General features: G+C 43.5%; 1 protein-coding gene and 1 long non-coding RNA gene across 17 annotated transcripts in view; one reads left to right on the top strand and one right to left on the bottom strand.

The window, feature by feature from the left end:
- The window catches only part of C8B (complement C8 beta chain), a 36,809-nt gene extending 32,772 nt beyond the window's left edge, over positions 1-4,037 (bottom strand). For 3 of the 4 annotated variants that reach the window (NM_000066.4, NM_001278544.2, XM_047429957.1), the window contains exon 1: positions 3,879-4,037. In NM_000066.4, coding sequence (NP_000057.3) covers positions 3,879-3,970 — 92 coding nt within the window. In that variant the 5' untranslated portion in view covers positions 3,971-4,037. Of the gene's footprint in view, positions 1-1,793; positions 2,016-3,878 lie in introns of all 4 variants that reach the window. The other variant, NM_001278543.2, reaches the window with a different exon arrangement.
- The window catches only part of LOC112267900 (uncharacterized), a 50,726-nt gene continuing 30,250 nt past the window's right edge, over positions 1,994-22,469 (top strand). For 11 of the 13 annotated variants that reach the window (XR_007066112.1, XR_007066115.1, XR_007066116.1 and 8 more), the window contains exons 1-2: positions 5,571-5,655; positions 7,602-7,778. This is a non-coding gene — a long non-coding RNA (uncharacterized LOC112267900). Of the gene's footprint in view, positions 2,080-5,570; positions 5,656-7,601; positions 7,779-22,469 lie in introns of those variants that run through there. The other 2 variants (XR_007066117.1, XR_007066120.1) reach the window with 2 other exon arrangements.

Raw genomic sequence — 22,469 nt, forward strand, 5'->3', positions numbered from 1 at the left:
GTGATTTGGCTTCTCCTAAGTATGTATTTGACAGCTCTGCAGGGTACCCTCTTCCTATTTCAACTACAAAACTGTTACATTATGTTTTTAGCAACCAAGACAACTCCAGGGCCATAGGTGAGACTGAGCAGGTAAGTAATGTACACACTAGCTATTAAGAGTCACAATTATTTTCGTCTCTGAGATTTGAAAGCCTGTTAATGGGCAAGATGATCACTTACGGAAAGAACTTGGTAAAAAGTAGTTATATCCACCACATCTCTCATTTTTGCACCCAATTTTCATTATGGAAGGTGGCAATATAATGAAGTAACCAGCTGAATAAATAGTATGTTTGTAAATTACATCGGATGAGATGTGTGTGGTTTATTAGTACTATAAAATGCAAATCTGAAAGAAAGGCTAGGATTAAACAGCATCTTTAGTTCCTGGGACTAACGAGGAGCCACATAAATTCTAGGTTCCCTCAGGGCCTCTGTGTGTGGGAACAACATGAGCCTTTCACCCCTATGGATTTCTATAGAAACAAACCTGATGGACATTTTGACCAACTGACTAAACTTCTGTCATTAAAAATCCTCTGTATGCTTTTAACATTGAAAAATTAAGCATGCCTAGAGAAGTACAAGAAATAATATAATAAACACCCATGTACTCACATCCAGATTGGCAGTTGTTCACACTTTGGTACACTTGCTTCAAGTCTTTTTGTAAATTTTTAATTTTGACATCTGCATTTTACAGCAGCCTCGATTTTGCTCCCCCCACCTTACCCCCAGAGGGGCTATTGCCATGAATTTGGTGTGTTTCCTTCCAGTCTCTTTTAGATAATTTGATGTCTATACACTATCTATAGTATTGCTTGTGTGTGCTTTATTCATACTTACACATATGATTCTGCAACTCACTTTTGTTAATCAACATTGCATTTCTGAAGTTATCCATGTTGATTCATAAAGAGATCTAGTTCATTTCTTTTGTCTGGATGTTCTATCATATGACACACATTGCATTTAATTTATTCCTTCTCTTTTTGAGGGACATTTATATTTTCCCAATGTTTTGCGATTGCAAATAGAGCTACAGTAAACGCCCTTGCTCAGCTCCTTGAACATGTGCCCCCTCTACTTAAGGACTGGCAAGGAGGTGTCTTTCCTGGGGATGCAGAAAATGCTGTAGCCAGCATTAGGACACATTTAACTGGGCCCAGGTCTCCCACTCTTTTCCTAACAGGCGTCTCTGATCAAAATAAAGATGGATCCATCCAGTACAGCAGGATTGGGTCAGCAGTAAATTGCAAGCCATCAGCTTATATAGATGGGGTGCGTCAATATATTTTGGCTTTCGGTAGAAATGCCCTGACACAACAACTTTCTTGTCACACACAATTTGTTAAGCAGCTGCATCCCCTTTGCAAACAGCATCCTTTTTCTTTGCTAGAAGGGGCAGCTTCTAGGTGGCAGGTTTTCAATTTCTCTTCTCTCTGTCGTTTGCTGTGGTAGACATGAAATTTAAAGCAACATCTCAAGGCAACAAATGTGTGGCCCAGAGATGGAGAAACAGCACAGAGGCCAACAAGTCAGATACACAATGTGGAGGTTGGGGGGTGGTGGGGGGTGGGGAGGGGACAACGCATTAGTGAGAAGCAGAAGGATGCAGAGAGAGTGCAGGGACTCTGAGACCTGAATGAAACTGGATTTGAATCCATAGTTAGCTGTTTGTTAAGTGGATAGCCTTGGGACACTTATGTTTTCTGTTTCCCTCTCTGTGAAACTGTAAACAGTAGCACTTACCTGGAATAGCTGTGAGGATTATAGCTAATGTTTCCAAGTTGCTGGCACAGAGTGGCAATACATAATAGGTCTTACGACACAGTGATTGTGATTTCATCATCTGACTTGATTACAAGAGTAAGTAAGAACAAAAAACTCTTTTGGCCAATACGAAGGTGGTCTCAGCATTTTCTGTTCCAGAACCAAAGACTATTCTTCTACTCGCAGATGGAATTCAAATACCTGTCGTGTTCAAGACAGCCCCATGGGGATTATAGGTGGATGTCAGAACTATACCCAGATTCAGGTAAGGGTTTGAAAACCTCACCACACATGCGTGAATCTTTTCTTGTCACTGAGGATCAGTTTGTTCTCTTACATAGCGAGAAGGAGAGATTACACCCACCTCATGATGTTGTAGTGACAATTAAATACAATTTCTCAGACTGCACTCTAATCAACAATTTGCCCCTCCACTCCCTACCTCAGAGTGAACTTCCTAATATATATATTTGATCGTGTCACTCCTTTGCTTCAACTCTTCAATGGCTTCCCAATGCATTGTGGTGAGGATATAGTTCAAGTTCCTTAGCTGGTACTCCAGCATCCCCCAACTCTGCCCATGACATGATGCCTGTTCACTCCTACTCTATCTCATCCCTCTCAACTTCCTGCCGGGACCTGTGTTCAAGGCCCACTGAGGTGTCTGGAAGCTTCAGGAGCAAGCCAGCTCTCTCACACTCACGCACCGTTGCCTGTGCTGCTCCCTCTACCTGGCACACCTTTCAACCCCTTAGCCATTCGGCAAACACCCACGCACCTGTAGAGATTCAGCCCTCACACTCTCTGTTCTAGAAGCCTTTCCAGGCCCTATGCCCTGTAGAGCTGATCATTCCCTCCTTGTTTCCTGGCTGCCCCGTAGCATCTTTTGTAACGGTACACATAGCATATGCTCACATGTTGGCATTCTTTGTGAGAACATAGGCTCATCTCTGTATCCTCAGAGCCCAACAGAAAGCTCCACCCAGGGGCACAATGCTATAGATAGGGTTGCTATGGTTCCCTTAAGTCCTCCATTCCGGAGACATTTTCTTGGGTCCTGAATGCTTCTCTGTGTACACACAGTACACACAAGGAAGGTCTTGGCAGCTTAGTTATTCTCTGGGCTAAATGGAGTTTCTTGATCATCCTAATAGCTGTTACTTATTGAGTGGCCAATAGATAGTGAACGAATGCTCATCATCCTGTGGTTCCTAATGGCAGCTCAACAGAACTGAGACCAGAGGCTGTGTCCCATGGGTAGGAGGTACTCCTCACATAAAGTGAAAGGTTTGTTCAGATCTCATTTTTGGACTAAGTAAAAGGAATGGAATTACAGTCCCTCTTCCCACAGGAGTGTTTACATGGAGGCCGGGGACACATGCACACTTCAACATCTCATGGCAGGGGTTTCTCATGCACACGGAGCATCCCCACATTGCTACGTCACTGGCTCTTCTATCACTGGAGCCCAAGTTTGAGCTCCCACTAGGATATTTTCTTTAGCTTGTTTTGCACCTTGTTAATGGAGACTAACAATGATGAAATAAATCAGCCAGCATTTAACTGCTGGGAACCTTGTGGGGGGTGAGAGAGAGAGAGAGAGAGAGTGTGTGTGTGTGTGTGTGTGTGTGTAAGAAGGGGGTGGGAAAGAACCTGAGAATCTGAAGATTTGGGGTTGATGAGCAGGTAGAGTAGGTCAATCTCATTTATTAAAATCATTTCATGAATTTGCTCTTTTGTCCTCTGTATGTAACAAACTTTCTTTTTCATAAAGAATCACACGGAGGCTTTGTTCAGAATACAGAAAAAATATCCTATTCTTCTCAGCATGACAAAATACATTTAAACCTGTCAGTTTCTTACAGGAACTTTTGTTGAAATCAGCTACTTGGTTCCACAATAATTTGAAAAGAGTTGTTGATAGTATGTTATCAGATGCATGCAAATTGCCTTAAGAGACGTTCCTCATTCAATAGGCATGCAACAAAGAGATGGTCAGCATCATGTGGCTGCACCTTCCCTGTCATATTATTGATCAGGGAATTATTGGTAACTGTCACTTACCTGGAGCCAGGCAAACTGAGACAGCCCAGGGCAGCACAGAGAAGAAATAGCTCCACCGGCGCCCTCCAAGCCCATGTCCTGGAATTCTTCATTTTCCCAATGTGACAGGAGATGCCACAGAGGCTGCTAGACCCATAACAAGCCTGTGCTGTGAGTGCCACTGTCAGCTTCTGTCCCCAAGAGCAAATAGCTCTGCAAAGTAAACAGAAAGCCACTAGTGACTGGAAACAGACTTTGCACAGACCAAAAACTTACCTGTCACTCTGGAAACCAACCAGAATAATGAAAAATCTGTAGCAGCATGGTGTTTATTCCTCTGTAACTTTAGGGTAAGCTGCCAAGTGGACAGGCTATTAGTGAGGTGGCAAGGACTGTGGGATCTAGGTCTAGACAGCCTGGGTTCAAGTACATTCTCTGCCACTGACTAGGTTGGTGCAAAAGTAATTGCAGTTTTTGTCATTGCTTTTAATGGCAAAAACCACAATTACTTTTGCACCAACCTAACAGCTTTGGACTATGGGCAAGTTGCTTTACTTCTGTGCCTTACTCTCCTTACTTGCTAAGTGGTGAGAATTAAACACGTTAATATAAGGAAATGTTTAGAACAGGCCTATGTTCAGCGCTCAGATATGTCAGCTATTATTACTTAGTAGAATTCAGGGTTTGGAGTCAGACAGGCCAAGGTTTGAATTCCATGTTTGCCTCTTTCCAGTTACATGATGTTGAGCAAGTCAGTAAGAGGCTGTAGGGCTCTAGAACCCATCTACCTGACTTCAAATTGCTTCTGTATGATTCACCAGCTGTGTGGCCAGAGAAAATTACTAACCCTCTCTGGGCCTAAGTTCCTTCATCAATAAAACAGGGATAATAATAATACCAACCTCACCGGGTTGTTGTGAAGATTAAATAAATTAGATTATTATTAATTATTATTGTAATTATAATTAATTATAATTATTATTATTAAATAAATTAGATTTATTTAATCTTCACAACATGTTCAAAACATGTTGAACATTGCCTGGCACATTCTATGTGCACTCTCTATAAGTGAGCTGGTATTTTTATTGACTGTCTCTGATTCTGTTTCTTCATATGTAAAATTAGGAGGACTATGACAACTTACCACTCACAGTTGGGAGAGTCAGACCAAATACTAAATGTGTAATTGTTGAACAAATAGGCATTATAGAAATAACTACATGACACTTTGGGAGGCCGCGGCGGGCGGACCACGAGGTCAGGAAATCGAGACCATCCTGGCTAACATGGTGAAACCCCGTCTCTACCAAAAATACAAAAAAAATTAGCCAGGCATGGTGTTGGGCGCCTGTAGTCCCAGCTACTCGGGAGGCTGAGGCAGGAGAATGGCGTGAACCTGGGAGGCAGAGCTTGCAGTGAGCCGAGATCGCGCCACTGCACTCCAGCCTGGGTGACAGAGCGAGACTCCGTCTCAAAATAAAACAAAACAAAACAAAACAAAAAAAACCCAGGAAATAACTACATGAAAATAATTATCTAAATATATATGTGCTGTTGTTGTTATTGTTTGCATCCCAAAAGATACAAATGACTGAGGTTCTCAAACCTACCTTCCTGAAAACCATCCCTGACTCCCCAGAATCAACATATTAAAGTCCAAACTGCACCAACCTGGCATTTACAAAACCAACCTGCAACGCATAAAGGGCTGAGTCCACGTGTTGGATGGCGTCCTGTTGCTTTTGCTATTGCAGATGTGGGTGAGGAACCTCACATGGGAGAGGCAGCTTGCAAGGTATGAGGGTGGGCTAGTAGAAAGAACACTGGATTTGCTTTCCTTAAACACAGTTACAGAGTTTCTCTAAGACTCTGTTTTCTCATCTGTGAAATAGGGATAATAATTCATTACTACCTACTTGATAAGTTTGTTTTGGGTTTGAACGTACAAAACGGGAAGCCTCCCCCTCCTGCCACCCCTGCCGAGTAGCTGGGTTGGGGTTGGAGAATCAAATAAGGAAGTATAGTGAGGGGATGGATGGGAAAGCCACAGAAGATGGTAGTCCTCTCACATTAATTGTGTCCAAAACACAGAACACAAGTTCTGCTGCCAGACCACCCAGGATGCATTCCAGTTGTCATAAGCCTAGGTGCAAGACTCCATGTCACCGTTGTCCCAAAGGATGAATTGACCTGAACTTTGACGCAATTGATTGTGGTGGTTAATCATTTGTAAACAAGCAGAAACTTGTGTTTCAAGAAAGATCCATGTCCTGTCTCCTATCTGCCTGCCTTTAAGAGAAGCCAAACCCTTAGAAGACAGGGCTCCCCTTCGACCTCCTCAACCTGATGTACTCACGGAGGAGCCTGCAGGTTTAGAGAGGACAGTTACACGAGTGAATCCTGTGCTCTCTCACCTCCAGGATTTTTGCATGCCGTTCCTTCTGTCCAGAGTATGTGCCACTTAGCTAAATACGACTCATTATTCGAGTTTTATATTAATGTCACTTGCTCAAGAAAGCCTTCCCAATAGATTCCCCTGGGGTTCTTAACGCTCCAGGCGCCCCCAGGTCTCCCGGAGTTCCAACCTCATCGCGCCCCCTGGTGGTTTCCCAGTGCAGCTCACCTGAGATCCCGCCTGGAGGACGGCAGCCTCAGGCTTTAGTGATAGTAATACACATATTTTTCAGGGACAGTTCTTAACAATTTAACAGTTTTCCCATACATCATCTTGTTTGATTTTGACAATAAGCCAAGAAACATAATATCATCTTCCAAGCCTCTAAGATGGGGCTTCACAGCTGTTTCCACAGCTGGTTAGTAGGACATCTTTGGCTTGATACACTTTTTTTTCTGACTCCTAAATGCTCCTTTTTCTAGCTCTGAAGCTTCCCCTTGCCCTTAGGATGTGCCAGCACTGCTTTAAGTCTTCACAGTTATCACACCACACTGCTCTTCTGGTCTAGCTGCTCTTACTCAGGGCTATAGATCTCATCTCTGACCATGCGAGAGCTTTGAAACTGATCATATGTCTCTAGGCCTTTAAACGATATGAAGGAATTTGTAACTCTAGGTCTGCGGATCCACTAACAGTTTGTTGTTTTTCCAACTTTTATTGACTGATTTTCCAGGCTCCACCCAGTTCCACAGCCAATGCCACTTTTCATGTTTCTGCTATGGCAGCACTCCACTCCTGGTACCTATTTTTGTATTAGTTAGCTTTTGCTGCATAACAAATAATCCCAAAATTGTAGACTAAAACAATCATCATTTATCAGCTCACAATTCCTTGGGTCATCAAATAGGCCTAGGCTAAAATGGGTGCTGGCCTTGCCTTGGTTCAGCCAACTGGTAGGTCAGCAGGAGCCTGGTTGGTCCAGGATGGCCTTACTCACCTGCCTGATGATTCATTCTGTCTGTCAGTTAGCACTGGCTGTTGGCTGAAGTGATGAAGTAAATGGGCCACATGACTCCAAATAGACTAACTCAGGCTTGATCTCAGGGTGATCTAATGGTTTCAAAAAGCAGCAAGAAAAGACAAGCCCCAGTGCACAAGTGCTTTCCAAACTTCTGCTTGCCTGATGTTTCTTAATGTCTCCTTGGCTGAAGCAATGGCCAAGCCCACATTCAAGAGCTAGAGACAGAGCTTATACCTGTTGATGGGAGGAAGAGCAGAGTCACATTGCAAAGGGGTATGCCTACAATTTTGGAAGGAATTCGTGGACATTCGGCAATTTCTTACAGACATGTGACACTTTCGGGCTGAAGCACTTAAGAGCCAGTGTGCCCTGTCCATTTCTGTCTTCTGTCCTGTGGATTTGGAAGCATGTGTTGACAGAACAATGTCTTATGGTGAAGGAAGCCTAAACCCCTGAGTCATTGGATGGAGGAGAGCCCATGTTGACCCATAAAGGACTTCATGTGAGTTAGAATTCAACTTTTGTTGTGCTATGTTATTGGGATTTGGTGGTTTATTGTTGCTGCAATAATACCTACCCCATTCTGACCAATATACTTTTAATATATTCTTACATTGCATAAAAAATTTGGTGTGTATATACATTTTTCTGGGGGAAAAATCCATAACTTTCCTGAGATTCTCAAAAGGACTTAAGATTTAAAAGAAGTAAAACAAAACAAAACATTTCCTCAAGAGATACAACTTTTTCAGCCAACATAATTATCTGTCTCCTTTTGAAGATCATGTGATATAGTGTGAAGTATTTGAGGATTCAGAAAGACTGAGACATCTCATTTCTCCTGTGACTTAGTTTATATCCTGGACCAACCCCTTAAGCCCTCTAAGCTGTAGTTTACTGAGTTTCAAATGCAGGCTTGTTGATAAAACACTTCAACAATCATTTATTGAGCACCTACTAGATGCCAAGTGCAATGCTACTTGACTGGGTATAAAGATGAGTGTGTAATGGACCTTCCCTATGAAAGCTCACAGCTTAGTGAGATGGGCAGGCACAGTAAAACATCACAGCAGTACAGTGTGACAATGAGAGAGGTTTACACAGCATAGCTCAGGCATCAGCGAAGTATGTGTGTGGCCATTGGAAAAGTATTCTCAGGAATGAGGTGACACTTAAGGGTTAAAGAGGAGTTAGCAAATGAAAGGGAGGGCATGTGGCATTACAGATAAAGGGGTCATCAAAGTTATGATCCAAAGGTGAGGAAGGTCACTGGGTCTGTGGGAACCATAAGCCATTCAGTGTTGCTGTAGCACAGAGTTCAGCATGAGCAATGGAAAGAAATGAAACAGGAGAGGCAGGCAGGAGCCATATCAGGTAGGGCCTGATGAGCATGCTAATGACATGGATTTTATCCAAACTGCAAGAGAAGCTATTGAAGGGTGTTAGGAGGAGAAGAAAAGGGACTGCTTTCTTTGAGAGATTACTCTTGCTACAGTGTAGAGAATGGATTAGAGGGAGGCAAATTGGAGCCGAGAGACCCCTTAGGAGGCTGTCCTAAGAGTCCACTGAGAAAAGATGCAGGCCTGAATTAGGGTGGTGGTAGCAGAAGAGAGAGTAGAGATGGAAAGGAAGGCATAAACATAATACCTGTCTTATGTCACTGAGGGAAGAAAATAACACACCCTCAGTGAACAGTGAAAGGCTTTGTACACTACACAGCTCTGTGCAAAGGTGGAATTATGATGACTGAGGTTATAGTTCTCTACTAAGGAAGGTATATAAAGTCCCTGGGGCTGAGCCTGGCAGCTGTTCAGGGTGACACCACCCTACACAGCACGCATTTCGCCCTTCATCACACACAGCCCCATGGATTACAGCATGGTCTTGTCCACCTTCAGATGAGCTCCTTGTCTTCCAGGCTCACCTTCCCTGGATCCTGGAGGACAGAATCTATCTCCCTCCTGTTGTTCTAGAGCCTTAATCAGTGTCTGGGAAATGCCGACGTCTACTGTTTCCACTGTAGATTTTTCCTTGCGGCCTGGGGAACCTGATTTTCAAAAGTCCTTAGCTGACTGCTGTGATAACTACATCACCGAAGGTGGTTATGCATATTGGAATGCCTTATCCATTGCATGGGTATTATCACCACTGTGGTTCAAAATTTTCCCAGAAGGAAGTGTAGGTGGGCTGAGTGGGCAACAAGGTTATTGGAGGGCTATCTGGGGAAAATAAAACCCGAATGAGAAAAAGAAGTGGCTCTATTCCCAACTGGAAAAACAAGAAGGAAAAAAATTAAAAGAAAGATAATGATAGCCAGCAAAATTATCCTCCTGTGGCAAAGAGAACAGCCGTGTAGGGAGCCCATATCTCTTTGCTCTTAAACTACACTACATGTCCTAGCTTCCCTTGCAATTATACTTAACCCTGTGACTGCAGTCTGGTGAATGAAATATAGGGAGAAGGGGTGTGTACTGTTTTATGTCTGACCCATGATAAACCTCCAGTGTGAAATCCTACACTCTCTTTTTTCCTCATATGCCAGCTACATGTGGGTACCCATGGTAATCGTGAAAGCTAGTGCTAAAGAGGGCAGAATCTCTGGCAGCCTGAGTTCCTGCATGACTGCCTGGAGCAGAATCTTCTGCACTCTCTTCTGATTAGACTATGCAAGAGTAAAAAAGAAATTTCTATTGTAGTAGGCCACTGAGATGTCAGTGTTTTTCTGTTATAGTGGCTAGCATTACCTAAACAAATACACTCTCCTTCCCCAAATCCTCATTCTCCACCTCACAAAACTGGCAAGCATTGACTAGAAAGGAGTCACAGGTTGAAAACCGCCTTCTAAGTGGTCAATGTCTATGACATGGATGTGGTGGTGGCAGGAAGGCAGTGTCTATTTAGCAGAGGAGGCTATCTATTCTAGGGTTTTGTTTGTTCTCTGTGTTGACAGATATGGAAATTCTGTGTCCTTTATTATGTATATTTCTGTATATAAAGAATGGATATCTATTTATCTGTGGACATGCACAGGTGCCCTCTTTCTTCTATGGTGCATGGTCTTATAAATTATAGGTAATTATTTCTCTCTGGCTGTAAAAGAGGCTTAGATGTAGAATACCGTGTAAGCCATATAGTTCAGGAACAGATAGTGGTATGGTTTGCATGTGTCCCCACCCAAATGTCATCTTGAATTCCCATGTGTTATGGGAGAGACCCGGTGGGAAGTAATTGGCTCATGGAGGCAGGTCTTTCCCATGCTGTACTCGTGATAGTAAATAAGTCTCACAAGATCTGATGGTTTTAGCTCTCTTCTCTTGTTTGCCAGCATGTAAGATATGCCTTTCACCTTTCGCCATGAGTGTGAGGCCTCCCCAGCCACATGGAACTGTAAGTTCATTAAACTTCTTTATTTTGTAAATTGCCCAATCTTGGGTATGTCTTTATCAGCAGCATGAAAATGGACTAATACAGATAGGATGTGTACTAATAACGGTTGGTCAGCACTGATGGTGACAATGAGCACTGTATAACCAGGTGGATGCAAAAGGTGCTCCAAGTGTGCTCCAAGGCGAGGGGTTCACCAGAGTGCTGAGAGGAGAGCTGACCTCGCAGATGTTGTTTCCATCATTTGGGATGTGCTCGCCAAATGCAAGAGGGCGGACTGAAGAGATAGCTCTTTAGGTACAATTTGATTTGGTACTAGTTATTTAGGGCCAGGTGTGGGCACAATATGTTTAATACTGGAGGTACAGTACATCATATGTTCTGTTAAGTCGTTTTTGTGGTTCCTAAAAATCTTTGAATATTTTACTGACCTCATGAGCCATGAGGCATTGACATCATTGGGATAGGCAATGAAACATCTCCAGTTCAACTCAGAGCAACTCATTTTCACAAATGTTTTTAATATAAGTACAGACAATTGAAAGATTACTCACTTTCTACTCCAGATAGTTCCAGAAATGCTAGAAATGTGTGGGGAGGAAAAATGGGATTCTACTTGGCAATGGGCCTTGAAACTAATTCCCTGGGGGACTTGAAACAACTGATGGATTATGTAGTTGCATTGATTTTGTGGATTAAGTGTGGCAAATGGTGAAGTTTAGGCCACCCTGTGCATCTGTTCATTTGCTCACTACACGATCAAGTTCAAACTTTTAGCCTAGCAAATTAACAATTTCTCAATCTCTATGCTCCAGCTACTCCAAACTTCTTCTCTTTTTTTTGAGATGGAGTCTTACTCTGCCACCCAAGCTGGAGTGCAGTGGTGCAATCTCGGCTCACTGCAACCTTCACCTCCCAGGTGCCAGCAATTCTCCTGTCTCAGCCTCCCAAGTAGCTGGGATTACAGGTGCCTGCCACCTTGCCCAGCTAATTTATATATATATTTTAGTAGAGACGGGGTCTCACCATGTTAGTCAGCCTGGTCTTGAACTCCTGACCTAAGGTGATCCATCCTTCTCAGCCTTCCAAATTGCTAAGATTACAGGTGTGAGCCACTGTGCCCGACCCAAACTTCATACCAATTCAAACACTGCATAAGTTCATTTATTCATTCAAAAAATATATGTTCAGTGTCCACTATGTGCTGGACTCTGTGCTAAGTGGAGGATTCAGCAGTAAATATCACTCTTGGCTCCCTACCTTCATGGAGTTTCCAGTTTCATAGAGGAAATAAACCCAAGTAATTGAACACATCTATAATTATGACTTGGGTAACTTTAAGTAGAAAACCATGTACTTTCTTGACTACACTAGTCGGGTGGCTGTGGAAGGGGAGTCTGGGAAACTTCCCCTGTGCTTGTGAAGCCCCAAACCGAAGAGCGAAGTGATTGACTAGTCAGGCTTTTGAACTATGATGCAATTTCTGATGTTACACAGTGTCAGGGTTTCTGTTATCTGATACAGCCATAAGAAACTACCAGAATGCTTAGTGTCTGAAAACATTAATTATGTTACCATTACTCACAATTCTGTAGCTCAAGAATTCAGGCTGGCCCGGAAGGAAGGGGCATCTCTCTTCCATGTGATGTCTGTTGGGGCTGGAACAGTCCCAGTTGTTTCTCCACTCACAGGTCTGTTGACTTGGCTCAGAAGCTTGATGGCTGAAGGTTAGATTGGACAGCCTGGCTGGGGCTGTGGTTCTCCTCAGGCCTCCTCCTCTTCAGGTGGCCATCCAGCGGGCCTCTCCACAGGGTCTCTCCAATAGTGCAACTCAAGTTCTCACATGACATCTCAGGGCTCCCAAGGGTAGAAATGCAGAAGTTGCCACATCTTCTTAAGGCTGTAGCCTGGAACTAGCATAGACTTGCTTCCATCATATTCTACTGGTTAAAATGAGTCACAGGGTCAGCCCAGAGTCAATTTGGGAGACAGCAACACAATACAGGTGGGGTGGTGCATTGGGGACAATCTCTGAAAACCAGTTACCACATTCAGGAAGTGGCATTGCTTAATGAAGGACTTTTTTAAAAATACAAGTTTTAATCAAAAGAGCCCCTTTCTCCCAAAGAATATGCGAGTACCTTCCTTTATCCAATGCTGATAGAGAATATGGCTTACAGAGGTAGGTGGAACTTTTTGATTAGAGATAGGTATGCCACTGTACCGCCAAACCACAGGGAAACATCCTGTCCAGACTCACAAGTGCAGTAATTCTTTGATCAGGACTTAAGACTTACAATGGAGGGCTGGGCACAGTGGGGCACACCTATAATCCCAGCATTTTGGGAGGCTAAAGCAGAAGAATTGCTTAAGGCCAGGAGTTTGAGAGCAGCCTGGACAAAATTGCAAGACCCCATCTGGTGTGGTGGCACAAACTTGTAGTCCTAGCTACTTGGGAGGCTGAGGTAAAAGGATTGCTCCAGCCCCGGAGTTTGAGGCTGCAGTGAGCTAGGATTACGCCACTGCTCTCTACCCTGGGAGACAGAGTGAGACCCTTTCTCTAAAACACAGTAAAAACATAAAAAAGACTTAGAATGAACTTTGAGAATTGGCAGGTACAGTGAACAAGATCTTTCTTCAAAGGGTTTTAAGACCCTTGATGAATGGAAATGATGTAATCCAAAGATGGGGCATGAGAGAGAAGAGCAGGGGCCCTCTAAAGATGATCACCAGATCTCACAAGCAAACCACAGCAAGGAGAACCCGGTCCTGCCTGACCAGAGGCCATTCCCTTTGCCAAGGAAGACATCAAATCTGACACCAGAACTCCAATCTAGCATTTCTACAGTTTGTTGTATATTTCTGCTTAACTGTGTGGTAAATCTAACATATGAAATTAGGCTAGGATTGTACACACGTTAAGAGGGCAGCTCTGCAGGCAGAACGTCTGTTGGTAGAGCCTGTCTCTACAACTTACTGAATGTGTGGCATGGGCTATGTTACTTAGCATTTCCGTTCAGGGCTGTGAAAGTGCTTAGCACAGTGCCACACATGACAGGAAATGGTAACGATTAATATCATCATTGGTTATGTTCTGGCTGTTAATTTCATAATTTCCAACTTAAACAGCCTTCCAGCTAGACAATTGACTTGATGGGCTCCTGTATGTATCCACTGATGTGAAAAGTTTAGCAACCAGAGCCCTTTTTTCGGAAGGGAAGATTTATTTCAGTCTAGATGCAGTCAGCATCCAACTTTGCAGAATTTGCTAGAGAGGAAAAGCCTGGCTTCATAAACCTGGCTACCTACACATGGTTCACAAACAGCAGGTCAAAGTCAAGGATGAATCCAGGACACCTAAATCATACTGACTGATATGGTTTGACTGTGGGTCCACCCAAGTCCCATCTTGAATTGTAGCTCCCATAATTCTGCATGTCATGGGAGGGATCTGGTGGGAGGTAATTGAATCATGGATGTTGGTCTTTCCCATGCTTTTCTTGTGATAGTGAATAAGTCTCATGAGACCTGATGGTTTTATAAAGGGGAGATCCCCCACATAAGCTCTTTTGCCTGCTGCCATGGAAGACGTGCCTTTGCTTCTCCTTTGCCTTCTGCCATGATTGTGAGGCCTCCCCAGCCATGCTGAACTGTGAGTCCATTAAACCTCTTCCCTTTATAAATTACCTAGTCTTGGGTATGTCTTTATTAGCAGCACGAGAACAGACTAATACACTGACTGACTGACCCAATTACCTTTTTTGTTGTTGTTTAATATAGAAACAACACATTTTAGGAGTCTTATAAGTATACATGTGGTGTTGATTTTGATTCAAAATATTATTATACTTTACAAGTTTCTGTTTCTCCTGAATGCACTTGTCTATTAACTCTGATACAGGTTTGGATAGCTGCACTTGTCAAAGTGTGCAATTGTTATTCCTCTGGGCTCTCCGATACCAGAATCTCTATATGTGAGCCAGGTATAGAGGAATTCCCTGTCTTCTTAAGGGATGACATCAGAGAGAGGCTACATGCACAGGCTCTGCAGCCCTGACGCATGGTGCAAAAGTGGACTACCACACTTACTAGCTGTACTTCTTAACTTCATTTTTCCTGTCTGGAAAATATGGCTAATTGTGCCCACCTTATGGGGCTCCTGTGAAGATCAAACAAGTAACCATACATAAAATGTTTAGAACAATTCTGGGCACATGATGAGTACATTATACAAGCATTAGCTTTTATAATTATTCAGCTTCTACATCAAATGGAAGTTTTTTACTTTATTTCATTAGTTTTTGGGGAAGAGGTGGTTTTTGGTTACACGGATAATTTCTTTAGTGGTGATATCTGAGATTTTGGTGCACCTGTCACCCAAGCAGTGTACACTATATCCAATGTGTAGTCTTTTATCCCTCACGACTCTCACCCTTCTCTGCGAGTCCATTATATCATTCTATGCACTTGCATCCTGATAGCTTAGCTCCCACTTATAAGTGAGAACATAAAGATATTTGGTTTTCCATTCCTGAGTTACTTCACTTAGAATAATGGCCTCCAACTTCATCCAAGTTGCTGCCAATGCCATTATGTGGAAGTTTATCCCAGTTCTCAGGTCACCCCTGTCTGGACCCTGACTCTGAACCTCAAGGACTTCCTTAAACAAGGGTGGAAAGAGGGCAGAGAGATGGCTTTTTCCAATGTAGAGATCTGCCTGATGCCTAAAACCTAGCCCCAGATTTAAGATTCTTCTACGAGGCAGAATGGAGTGGGAGGAAACGTTATGCGATTCACGCTACAGAATGCGGTTTGGCCCATTCTTGACACTTGCATACCACCTGTGTGTGTTCTGGGGCAGGTGGAGTCTCCCTTCTGAATCTCTGGTTCTCACCTGTGCAATAAGGTAGCAATCCCTGTGGGAAGGAGCCCCCAGGCACTTCAGATCCAGGCAGACTTGCTGAGGCAGGGCAAGCCTAAGTGCCCACACATCCAAGCCAGAGTCACCTGGATTCCCTTAAGGTCTGGAAAGTAGATGATGCCCAGAGGCCAGCTACTAGAAATGGGGCACAAGGACCCAAAGAACCTGGCAACCAAGCTGGCTTATGTTCAGATGCTTGCAAAATAAGTGGCTGAGGACTCTTACACCCTCCAAATCTTATGACTTGTGTCCTCAGAGGCTGGGAGTAGGACAGCCTGTGAGTGAGTTCTGCAAGAACTACACGTCTCTGGGGCTGGCTTGTCCTTTCCATGCAGGCTACTTTCCAAGCCCTCTAGAATAAGCCAGGCCTCTCCAGTCTGCTCCAGCATCTGCTCTGACCCTCTGGTCCCGTTAGCACCATCTCCTGTTACTCCTACCATCCATGAGTTCTGTTAGTTGGCTATCCTTTGGTGGGAGGCTGTTCCACCTAACAGTCATGACCCAGTTGCAGTACTTGCCTACGGTTTGGGGGTTTGTATTTTTGAGAGGCAGTGCCACCAAGTGGATGCTGTATAGGCACTGGAGGGGTAATGGGCTGAGTTTGAATCTCAATTCTGTCATTTGTTAGCTACCTGACTTTGGGCAAGTTACTTTGCCTTTCTGATTCTCGGTTCCTTCACTATAGAGAAAATTATTCTTGTATAGGGGTCATAAGGATTAGGAACAATAAACGTAAATTTCCTGCACAGTGCTTGACACATGGTAGGTGTTCAATAGGTGGAAGCTGCTACTTCTATCATAACTATCATTATTATCATCTGTGACTCCACATCCATGTCCAGGACTGCCAGAGGAGGGTAACACAGGTAGAGAATCATGCAACCATGAAGGTTATTCAAAAGGTCATTCTATCTTAGAGTACTAGAGGGACAGACTTCAATCTCACTTTTAGCCATATCTCAGAGTTTTGACCTAAAACCCTCACCAGAACCTTCACCAGAATTCTTCCATCCTCTGAGATCTCCAAGAAACCCTTTCCAGATAAGTGGGAAAACTAAACCCTCTGAGCGGAACTCCACAGCTTTGTGACTGCAGCCTTGGCCCTGCAGCCCCACAGGTATCCACAAAGATAGTTGGCATCTTCAAAATACTTAATAATTTTCAGCCACAGTGATAATGACCATCATAGCATAAGGATAACAATAGCAGGTTTTAAAAGGACCGTATATTGACCACAAATAGGTGTAATCACACACTCTCCATGGTGCTGCTTAGGCTATCATTTTTCCTATGCAGCTCTGACCCAATTGCAGAAAGAGAAATTCTGCAGAACTTGGAGAGGGTGAAAAGTGCCCATCTCCTGGGCTCCCTCACCATTCCTGAGCTCTCAGAATGAGTCTCTGTTCACCAGGAGGGCGCTAGTGTGCAGGAGACAGTGGCCAAGCCTCCACCACAGCTGCCTTGCCAGGTTCCTTGTCAATACCTGTTGACATTTCCCTGAGTAATCATTCTGGGCACCTCGGTATATTTTTTCATATCGCTGGATAGATTACGGGGGCTCTATTGATTTTGTGGTTTCATGTGTGAAAGATCTAATCTTAATCCTCAGTTGTTCATTTTCCTTAACCTTTTAATAACATGATACGGAGGGAAGCTGTCAGAATGGAAATTGTTTCTGAGGCATATTGTCATAAATATATGCCACACACTGTTTTATTTTACGGGTGCAGCCATATTTTTTGAAATAATAATAATGATAAAATTTGGATAGTGTATTGCAGTTTACAAAGCACTTTTCCTTATCAACTCGTTTGATCCGATGGCAATCCTGACAGGTAAGAGTTATTTTATTTCCTTTGATCTATTTATTCTCGGAGTCTTTCCACAACATGAATTTTTATTATTATTCGCTGTGTCACAGATGAGAAAACTGCATTGCCCAAGGTCACACAGCTTTTAAAAATAAGGTTCAGAGTTAGAGAGATCTGCACTCAAATCCTGACACTGCTAGGTTGTTGCTGTATCACTTTGAACATAAGACTTGGGCTCTCTGTGGCTCATTTCTTTATCTACAAAACGGGGATAATGCTATCTTTCTGGGATTTTGGAGGGATTAAAGATGATGTGGGCAAACCATCTGCACAGTACCCAACACTTAGGAGAGGATCAACAAAAGCTATTATAATCAAAATAATAATAATATGAAATATTTGAGAAGGGCAGGGTTTGAGCCAGGACTTTATGTCAAACCTCAGTTCTCTGTTCACTTGGTTGGAGAGCAATTAGAATCTTCTCTCTCACATGCATGCATGCTTGCTCTCTCTCATTTCTTTCCTTAATTTGTAAAGCCCCAGTGAATGACAATAAACTAAGGGCTCTTGAGACGAACACTTGGAAGTCTCTGTTGATGCTGGGGGTGAAGTACAAGAGCCATCTGGGCAGCAATGCCCTTGAGTCTTCCTCCCTGGAGCAAGATTCCAGCCAGTGACCTGGAAATCGGCCTGCAGAAGTACAGTTCCCAGCCCTGGAGGCAGGCTGGCTACACCTGTGTCCTGAGTTAAGAAAGGCTGATGGAGGCATGCAGATGTTCTCACCATAGTTTAGAGAAGTTACATATGGAGAAGTTATTAGGGATTGTGGACTTGAGCCAGAAAACCAGAAGGACGGGGGCTTTCTTCCCAGCTTGAGGCTTTGAGAAAGTCATTTCCTTTACCCACGCCTCAGCTTTCTCATCCTTAAAATGACAGTGTTCAGTGTAATTTGTGTTTCCCAGCCAAAATTTAGCTGAAAACCAAAAACTACTTAAATCCTGCCCCCTCTCACATCCCATTTCCAGTCCTAGAATGATGAACGGGGGTGGGTAAGGAGAAAAAGGCAGCAGGGCAGGGATATATAAAAGGAAAAAGAAATGTTCATATTAGGAAATTTGAGCTCAGATGACTTCTAAATTTCTTCTGAGGACTCACATTCCATGGCTTCAGCTTTCTGGAATTGAAGCTCATTGCCATACTAGCTGTTTCACAGCTTTCTTTGTTAGACTTGAGTATTACTCATCAATGCAGGTAAGATGGAAGCAAATAGATCCCTAGCACAAAATGGCATTTTTTTCTTTCCCTTCCCCTCTCCTCCTCTCCTCTTCCATCCTTTCCCATGAGTAAATGCATACCCTTCTAGATTAAATCCTGGATCTCCACTGATAAATCCTTATATTTTCTGACTTGTGCAACTTTGGTACATGTTGTTCCCTCTGTCACGTGGACTTTTTACTGGGGTCCTCATTCTCCATCTGGTAAAATCATGTTCATCTTTTCAAGATCCATCGCAAATGTCACTCCTACTTTGAGAAGCTTCTATCAGTCCGTTTCTGTGTTGCCATAAAGAAATACCTGAGGCTGGGTAATTTATAAAGAAAAGAGATTTAATAGGCTCATAGTTCTGCAGGCTGCACAGGAAGCATGGGGCTGGCATCTGCTTCTTGTGAGGGCCTCAGGAAGCTTGCAGTCATGGTGGAAAGCGAAGGGAAGCAGGAATATCACATGGGAAGAGCGCGAGCAAGAGAGTGATCGGGGGAAGCCCCAGACTTTTCAAAAACCAGATCTTGTGTGAACTGAGCAAGAACTCACTCATCAACAAGGAGGTTAGTGCAAAACCATTCATGAGGGATCCGCCCCCATGATCCAATCACCCTCCAGTAGGCCCCACCTCCGATATTGGGAATCACATTTCAACATAGATTTGGAGGGGACAAACAGTTGAACTTTATCAGAAACTTTGCCTGACTATCCCAAGAAAAGAAACCATGTCTTATTTTGGCCCCGTAGCACTATCTCTAGGATAGTATTTGCTGGTATTTGTGACACTGTGTTGTAATTCCTTGGCCATCTGTCCTTCCTTCTCCCTCCACCTGTGCATTCCTTCAAGGAGAGGACCATGTTCTCATTCATTTTGATATCTCTAGCACTTGTAGGGATGTCCTTCTATTATGATATTAGCTTGCTGATGGGAATGTTAATAACCCTGTCAACATAGCTTTTATTCATTTATTCACTGATTCATTTATTATTCCTAGACTCAGAATATTTTACAACATTGTAAAGGGCATTACATGTATCATCCAGCCTCTTCATTTGTTCAGAAATTGAGGCTCAGAGAGGTAAAGTTAACTTACCTGGTGCTACCCACCTTAGCAGAAGTAGAGTTGGTAGTTAACTCCATGACCTCTCCTTCAGCCCAGTGTCTTTCTCTCAGTCCTACATGTTCAGGAGACCTATCCAGCTCACCTACTATGTTTCAGGCACTGTGCTATGTGTACAGAAAGGATGTTAATATGATATGGTTCCTGCCTCCAAGCGATTTACAGTCTAGTAGGAAAGCAGAGACCTTTTCCACATACTCTAAACCACCTATGAAGATTTATGCCTAACTGATTCACTGACCCCCTGACCGTCTCTTGAGAGTGGACTCCAGCCCACGTCCTTTCAGGGACTCTACTCTGCCTCTTTTGCTCTGAGCTGCCTCGTGTCCTGGCCCTGGATACATCCCTTTGTATTCTGATTTTGACAGCTGTTTTGGGTTTATCTAATTCTTTCTCTTGACATTTTAGACCCAGGCTCTCTTTCATGACCTTGAGGCTTTTCTCAAGCTGTCTCTCACTGTCTTGATAAAGACTTCCTGCTCAGTTTCCAGCACCATAAACCCCACTGCTGCCCTCCCCACCATCCCTCTGGCTAGTCCCGCACCCACCATGAAATTAACTCAAAGCTGGAACAATTACAGAGATACTTCTGTGGGCCAGCCTCCTGTGCACCTCTGGCATGTGGGTTTACTTTTAGAGGAGAATGAATCCACTAAAGCACATCTTTCTTGAAATGATGGTTTCCAGAGCAGCAAAAGTATAGCATGCACCATTTGCAAGGAGCAATTCTTGCTCTACCTAAAATGCCATCAGCACAAAGCATGGATGGCTTTGTAGATTGTTACTTTTTGAGTAAGCTCATGTGGAGTTTGATAAAACTTATTCCTCATGATCCATAAGCCAGGTGTTTCTACTGAGATAACATATTATTATTTGTGTTGAATCTCAGCCGTTAACATAACTGATATTGGCCAAGCATTTCCCATCCTCTGGTTAGGTAACTCTCAAAAGAGCTGGGCAAGGTATGATACCAGAACATGGCCCAGGAGCTTCCTAAAGCCAAGTGGATTGCAGGTGAAAATGAGGGGACAGTCACTTCTCCCTTACGTTCTCCAGAAAGCATGGAATAGCAAAAGAACCAGAACTTTGGTATCTGTGAGTACAGGGATCTGGCTGTACCATTTATCTGGAGAGGGTGTTTTACCACTTTTGAGCTTCAGTTTCTTGCTTTATAAAATGGGGATGAGAATGCCCATATTACAGGGGTCTTGTGAGAAAATGAAGAAGAATGTAGATATGCTAACTCCCCACCCTAAATACCATCATATATATATATAGACATATATATATAGACATATATATATATAGACATATATATATAGACATATATATATAGACATATATATATATATATAGACATATATATATATATATATAGACATATATATATATATATATAGACATATAGCTGTAAGGAGAAGGTGGGAAAGAACAGGCTTGGTGGAAAGGGGAAAATGCGAATGATAGATAGAGATAATTGTGAGCTGCCTAAAGGATGGACTCCTGGACTAGCTGTGCAGAGATGAAGAGATACACGGAGCTTGTCACAGGCCAAATAGCTATGGCTACGGGGAGGGGACAACTAGGTCTGGCCTTGCCCAGCAAGGAGTCAGGCTGTGATTTCTGGGGGACTAAGGACTGATTTGAAGCAGAACTGCAGCCTGATAAGACAGGGAGATGATCCAGTGCCACACAGAGAAGAGGCCTGCTGCCAAAAAGCTTGTCAGAACCTCAGGAAGACCCATTGGCACCCTGGGGAGGACATCCTGTAGCATCGGAGTGGACATCACCTATTGGAATTGAAACATGGTTCCTAAGAATGGGCTCTCATGGCCAGGATCCAAAAGGAAGGCTGTGGTTCCACGAGGAGACCTGTTCTGAGTCGAGATGACAAAGCTATCTCCAAACCCCACCTGCTAGGGAGGATAAGATTGCTAACAACCAGCTCTGTGGTCAGAACTGGCTCAGCTGCACAGGGTAGTGCTATTGGCAGCTAAAGATAGGGTGGGGGAAGAAGAGACCTACGAAGTGTTCCCAAACCCCTCTCCAACTCCCCGTTTGGACAAGAAAGCCTATCAAGGCTTCCGAGACATCTAAGGAGGAGAGCCAGTAACTGCTCAGAGTACATCTTTATGATGACATTCCAGAAAATTCACCACTTACTGTAGTTTAATTCCTCCTTGTCTATTTGAATACCTGGGTGGAAATATCAGACTCACCCAGGCTCAGTTCTACAGGTAACGTGGAGCCAAGGAGGGTCTTAGAAGAGCAGAGTAGATGAGCAAAGCTGTGTTTCTCAGACACTGCTTAAGATGCATTTCAAAGGGCAAAGACAAGGCGACCTCTTAGGAGGCTTGTTCTGCAGTGCTAGCGGGGATGAAGAAGAGAGGCTAAGGGATAAGCATGGCTAAGGTGGGATTATCAGAATCCACCTGTAAAAGTAGGGAGGAGGCATGGATGGCAGGGACCCAACAGACTTCAGGCAATACTCTGTCCTTTGCCCCATGAGGATAGCCTGTCTCCACAGGAGGAAGGCTGCGATTCTTCACCCACCCACTCTTCCTTGCAATGGAGACACCTAGAGAGTTTGGGGTAGTAAGAAAGGGTAAGGTTGAGAACCCAGCCATGTGTATTGGCCCAGACAGAGCCTTGGAAGGGAGAAAAGGAGAGGGTCACAGAAACTCGTTTCATAA

The sequence above is a fragment of the Homo sapiens genome, chromosome 1, assembly GCF_000001405.40.
Source record: "Homo sapiens chromosome 1, GRCh38.p14 Primary Assembly".
NCBI classification, from domain to species: domain Eukaryota; kingdom Metazoa; phylum Chordata; class Mammalia; order Primates; family Hominidae; genus Homo; species Homo sapiens.